The sequence below is a fragment of the Homo sapiens genome, chromosome 2, assembly GCF_000001405.40.
Source record: "Homo sapiens chromosome 2, GRCh38.p14 Primary Assembly".
NCBI classification, from domain to species: domain Eukaryota; kingdom Metazoa; phylum Chordata; class Mammalia; order Primates; family Hominidae; genus Homo; species Homo sapiens.
In genome coordinates this window covers 17,620,425-17,627,094 of record NC_000002.12, presented here as the reverse complement: position 1 = coordinate 17,627,094, position 6,670 = coordinate 17,620,425, and the positions used below count along the sequence as shown (strand labels likewise).

The following is a 6,670-nucleotide window of genomic DNA, read 5'->3' as shown; positions in this document are numbered from 1 at the left end:
GATTTGCATTTAGGTCCTGAAGCTGTTTGGATGTGGTGTTGAAATGAGGGTGAAACTGCTGGGATAGTCCAGGAACAGATTTTAGACAAAATAGTCCTTTATTGCTTTGATTGCTGTTAAAAAGCCTTCTTGGGGCAACCCCACCCAGAGTCTGTGCAGCAGACAAGCTGCACCCAGCAGGCTATGGCCATGGTCAGGCCAGGCTGGAGTGGGGCTGGCATCTGAGAGCCGCAGTTCTTCATCATTGAATATTCCCAGAGCCTCTTCTGAGTATCTTAGTGAGGCTTCTACCCAGTGACAGATTTTTCCTTTGTCCTAGAATTGTGGACAATGCTCCAAACTGAAAATAAAAGGTAGTAAGCACTTCATTCTAACTTCAGAGAGCTGCTGGCAGTTGGGGTCAGCCATAAGTTGATAGGGTCTAATAAAGGTGTACCTTTAAGAATCACTCTTGCATCCAACCATCATCTCCCAGGCCAGCTTAGAGACAATGTTCTCTTTGCTCCTCTGCAGACACAGGGGCAGGGTGGGTGGGAAGGGTTGGGGAGTGCTTCCCCTGGTGGTTCCAAAAGAGTTCATCTATGAGAATGGCAGGAAATGGGCATTTTGCTCCCTGACTGGCTGTCGCTTAGGACTTCGCTTAGTGGCCCCTGTGCACCGAGGCTCTGGGCACTGAGGCCAGATGCTCCCTACTCCTGTCACCTTTTCCAGTTCCCAGTTCCTAAGACTTCCACATGTGCTCACTGGCCTGTAGTTGGCTCAGGCCCCAAGGGGTACTACACAAGTCCTCAGGGGAACGTGGCCTGTGATTCGCTAGCTACGGCCAGAACTCCCAACAGTCTGCCAATACTTAGGGGTGCTGCAGAGACATGATAGTGCTGCAAGGGCACCAGTTTTTGCAGGTGGGGCATATTGGGGTCATGGCTAGCCCTCAAGGAGCCCAGAGATAGTGAGGAGATTAGAAGATCAGCCAAGGGGCTGGGCCTGGTGGCTCATGCCTGTAATCCCAGTCTTTTGCGAAGCTGAGGCGGGCGGATCACTTGAGATCAGGAGTTCGAGACCAGCCTGGCCAACAAGGCGAAACCCCATCTCTACTAAAAATACAAAAAAATTAGCCAGGCATGGTGGTGCATGCCTGCCTGTAATCCTAATCCCAACGACTTGCTTAGGAGGCTGAGGCAGGAGAATCACTTGAACCGGGAAGGCGGAGGTTGTAGTGCGCTGAGATCTCAAAAAAAAAAAAAAAAAAAAAAATCAGCTAAGGAGATGCTGTAACCTGGCCTAGTTCCGTAAGGAACTTACTGAAATTCCCTTTTCTCTATATCTTCCCTGCCTCAATACATGAAGGAGTGGAGGAGCTGCTTAGTAGTAGAGGAAGGGGTGGGTGCCAAGTGCTGATCCTTGACACATTGTCCCGCCCCCAGCCCCTGCCTCCTAACTGCAGCCACAGACAAGGCAGCCTGTGCTGGGGAGGGAAGGAGAGCACTGAACTGAGCTGGAGGTGGAATTTTTTAAAATGAGTAAGACTGTCTTAAATACCTGAAATGAGTCTGTTCTGATAACCAATAACAGAGAGTGTCGCTAATTTAGGGAATCTTGCCAAGATGCTGTCAAAGCAACTATTACAAAGGAGATAATAGTTCATCATAGCACAATTGCTATATGGAATTATAAGGAAAAAATAATTTCACATTTGTATGTTCAGGAGTAGAGATTTCAGGAAACCTGGTTTCCAATATCAAGCCCACGCCAGCTGCTACTGGCATGGTAACCAGGGTACTTTGAACTGAGCCCTGTATTAGTCTGTTTTCACACTGCTGATAAAGACATACTCGAGACTGGGCAATTTACAAAAGAGGTTTAATTGGAGTTAGAGTTCCACGTGGCTGGGGAAGCCTCACAATTATGGTGGAAGGCAAGGAGGAACAAGTCCTGTCTTACATGGATGGCAGCAGGCAAAGAGAGAATGAGGAAGATGCAAAAGCGGAAACCCCTGATAAAACCATCAGAGCTCGTGAGACTTATTCACCACCACAAGAACAGTATGGGGGAGACTGCCCCCATGATTCAGTTATCTCCCACCAGGTCCCCCAAAACACGTGGGAATTATGGGAGTATAATTCAAGATGTGATTTGGGTGGGGACACAGAGCCAAACCATATCGAGCCCCATAGTAGACATTTCACACAGGCGTTTTCTCATTTAATTATCTTAATTATTTGAATATTACCTGTTGCTGCTGTAACACATTACCTCGACCATTTTGGTTTAAAGCAATACATTCATTATCTTATAGTTCTGGGAGTTGGAAGTCTGACATGGGTCTTCTCTGGGTTACCATCAAAGTGTTGGCAGAGCTACATTCCCTTCTGGAGGCTTCAGGGGAGTGGATTCCACCCCCTCTCCTTCTCTGGCTCTAAGAGGCTGCCTGCATTCCTTCACTTGTGGCCCCTTCCTCCTTCTTCAAAAGCAGTGGTGGCAGACGGAATCCTCACATTGAGTCACTCCAACCTTCCCTTCTGCCTCCCTCTTTCACTTTAAGGACGCTTGTGATTACATTGAGCCCACCTGGATAATACAGAATGCTCTCCCTATATTCAGGTTAGCTGATTAGTAACCTTAGTTCTATCTACTACCATAAATGACCTTTGCCATGTAACATAATATTTTCACAAATTCTAGGGGTTAGGACATGTATACCTTGGGGTGAAGGGGGGACACATTTTTCTGCCTATTACATTTGTTCCTTTTCACATTTTATGCATGAGACAAAAGGCACAGAGAGATGAGGTGACGAATCCATGGTTTCCCAGCGAGTGAGCCTCAGACCTGGAGATAATCACACACTGGCCCCAGCTGTCCACACAGGCATTGTTCCCTAAAAGCACTGCTGAAATTGATCAGCCAAAATCAACCCTGGCTTTTAACACAGAAACAAGTGTAGGAGACTGTGCTCTGTGTCTTCCTTGAAGTTTCCTTGCAGAAATTAGAGTTCCTGATCTGCTCCTTTAGTCCTCATGATAATTCACCATAATGTGTTTCTATCACAGAATTCCAGTTGGTTCTTGGACTTGAATTTGGCCTGTGGCACGTTTGGACCTACACTACCTTAAGTTGTAGCTAGCGACACTATGAATCTAACAGATATTTCCCATCACGTTTACTCTTAGAAGCCATCCTCACCAGGGAATCAATTAACAGTCACTTCTGTTTCCTTATTATTTAATGTAAGCTATTAATTCTTTAATTTATCTGGAATTTATTTGGTGTCTGGTGGAAGGAGAGGATCTGAATTTATGTTCCACTCTCCACAAAAATTCAACTGGATATCCCAGCAGCCTTTAGTCTATGATAGCATTTGAGCATATTTTCCATTCTTATATATGCTAGGGGTTGCTCTGATTTTTTTTTTTTTTTTTTTTTTTGAGATGGAGTCTCACTCTGTCGCCCAGGCTGCAGTGCAGTGGCATGATCTTGGCTCACTGCAAGCTCCGCCTCCCAGGTTCACGCCATTCTCCTGCCTCAGCCTCCCGAGTAGCTGGGACTACAGGCACCTGCCACCACTCCCTGCTAATTTTTTTGTATTTTTAGTAGAGACGGGGTTTCGCCGTGTTAGCCAGGATGGTCTCGATCTCCTGACCTTGTGATCTGCCCACATTGGTCTCCCAAAGTGCTGGGATTACAGACGTGAGCCACCGTGCCCAGCCGGGGTTGCTCTGATTTAACTGTTCTTGCCATTTTTCTGTTGTGGCATCAATACCGTACTGTTTTAATTACTGAAGTTGTAAAGCATGTTTTCATTTATGACAGAACAAGTATCCTACTTACTTACAAGTCAGCTGGTCTCTCTCAGCTCTTTACTCTTCGAAGTGGACTTTAGAATGATTTTAAATTCATATTTAATTACATCTATTCAATTTTTTTTAAGATATTGATATAATTATGAAGTATTTATAGCATTTGTAATGTTAAACTGTCCTTAAACTCCTGGCCAACTAACAAGCTTATCTCATTGTGGTGGATGATTGCTTTAATATGCACTAGCTATGGATTACTGAGACAGATAAAAAAGGATCCCTGGAGAATCTCTAACCCACCCCACAAGTGTTTATACCAGATGCTTTTGTGTAGATGAGGGAACCTGCCCAGGGTGGTTTGGACATGGCCACAGTGGATTGGAGCCCTCCTGTGCACTGGGAGGACCAGCTGGAAGTTCACGCCGTTTGCAGCAGGGAGGAGCCTGGCCTCTCCTGTTCCTGTGTGGGGACCTGGGATTTGATCTGTGAGGCAGGAAGTTGTTGGCAAGGCCCCCTGTTGCTTTGCTGAGTTTTTATGTCTTTTTCCTTTTCACCCAGTGAATTCCATTTTCCTCACACTTCTATGTGTCCATGAGCCTAATCTTTCCTGGTCATATGACAAGAGCCTGGTTTTAGCTGAGCTAAGGAGAAAGTGCTGCAACATTACTAGGATTCATTGAAGATCTTTCTTTCTTTTCTTTCTTTCTTTCTTTCTTTCTTTCTTTCTTTCTTTCTTTCTTTCTTTCTTTCTTTCTTTCTTTCTTTTCTTTCTTTCTTTTCTTTCTTTCTTTTTTTTTTTTGAGATGTAGCCTGGCTCTGTTGCCCAGGCTGGAGTGTAGTGGCGCGATCTTGGCTCACTGCGACCTCCGCCTCCTGGGTTTAAGTGATTCTCCTGCCTCAGCCTCCCAAGTAGCTGGGATTACAGGCACCCGCCACCATGCCTGGCTAATTTTTGTATTTTTAGTACAGACAGGGTTTCACCATGTTGGCCAGGCTGGTCTCGAGCTCCTGACCTCAAGGGCTCCCAAAGTGCTGGGATTACACGCGTGAGGCACCATGCCCAGCCTGATTTTTTTTTTTTTTTTGAGATAGAGTCTGAAGATTTTTATGTTCATGTTCAGAGGTAAAATTTGTAGGATGAGCTAGTAGAAGGCTGCCTGCTTTGGAATACCTCTGGATTTGATGTCTGTGATAGATGAGTGGAAAAGGAAGGCAAGGAGAGGGACTCAGAAAAATTGAGGAGAATGAGGACATGAGGCAAACTTCACTATCAGCCCAGCCTCTCTCATTATGACTCACCAGGATCTTCCCAGCAGCCCAGAAGAATCCAGTCTAAAAATCAGGACGCTCCCCTGGAACTGTTAGTTTTGGCTGGGTGCGGTGGCTCATTCCTATAATCTCATTGCTTTGGGAGGCTGAGGCTGGAGGATCAGAGTACCATACCAGCTTGGTCAACATAGCAAGACCCTGTCTCTACAAATATTTGAAACAACAACAAAAAAATTAGCCAAGTGTGGTGGCAAGTGCCTATAATCCCAGCTACCCAGAAGGCAGAGACAAGAGGGTTGCTTGAGCCCAGGGGTTCGAGGCTGTACTGAGCTATGATTGTGCCATTGCACTCCAGCCTGGGTGACAAAATGACATCTCCTCTCTATTAAAAAATAAAACAAAAGAGTAGAGGCACGGTGGCTCATGCCTATAATCCCAGCACTTTAGGAAGCTGAGGCGGGCAGATAACTTGAGGTCAGGAGTTCGAGACCAGCCTGGCCAACATGGTGAAACACTGTTTATACCAATAAATACAAAAATTATCTGGGTGTGGTGTTGTGCGCCTGTAGACCCAGCTACTCGGGAGGCTGAGGTGGGAGAATTGCTTGAACCCGGGAGGTAGAGGTTGCAGTGAGATGAGATTGTGTCATTGCACTCTAGTCTGGGTGACAGAGTGAGACTGTGTCTCAGAAAGAAAAGAAAAGAGAAAAGAAAAGGAGAAAGAAAGAAAAAGAGAGAGAGAAAAAAAGAAAGAGGAAGAAAGAAAGAAAAGAAAGAAAGAAAAAGAAGGAAAGAAAGAAAGAGAGAGAGAAAGGAAGGAAGGAAGAAACTGTTGATTTTTAGAGAAAGAAACTGCTGATTTTTATAGGGCTGCCTGGTGAGATTCCCTGTTAAGTGATATGCTAGGTATTGTTTTTAAAGTAGCTTTCCTTCATCAAGTTCATTCTTGTATATAAAAATGACCATACTGCTCATGACTCACCATTATGTAACCATAAGTCTATTATAGTTTTCCTATTAACTTGCTTTATTCTACTCATCAGCATTTGATTACACAAATATTCTCTTAAGGTTTTATTATGCTTGGATGTGAGAGGAAGAAGTAGCATTCCTTTGAAACAATGTAAAATTCAAATTAGCCCTCCCCAGTGAGTTTAAATTGAGAGGTTTCATTCTACTTTTTTTCTGAATTTATCGGGGTTAGTCTGTACTGTTTTACACTAGCAGATGAAGGTTGTATGATCTTTGCAATTTTTTTTTGTACTATATTATACCCTCTTTTATTTCTGAGGCTTAGAATCAATTTGTAGCGTCACTCGATAAAAGACAATAGTGGGTGTGGAATTCTTTTTCTCAAAAGATAATATCATGAATAGCATAATGCTCACCTTCCCACCCACTTTCTCAGGGGAAGAGTGATGACTGCATTCTACTGTGGCCCCTTTGTTTTAATTAGAGGCTTCGTCTGTGGGTGAGGAATCCTGGGCTGGAGGCAGCTCGAGTCCCCCATCCAGAAGCCTTCCACGTGGGAGGCGCACTGAAAGCACAGCAGATCTTCCCTGAGAATGAGGAGGCGGGGCCCCTGCACCTCCCATCTGGATACC

The 6,670-nt window shown here is 44.8% G+C and overlaps 1 protein-coding gene across 5 annotated transcripts in view; it reads right to left on the bottom strand.

Annotated features, from left to right (window-relative positions):
• VSNL1 (visinin like 1) overlaps nucleotides 1-6,670 on the bottom strand; it is a 117,047-nt gene that overhangs the window by 29,924 nt on the left and 80,453 nt on the right. The window lies entirely within an intron of this gene.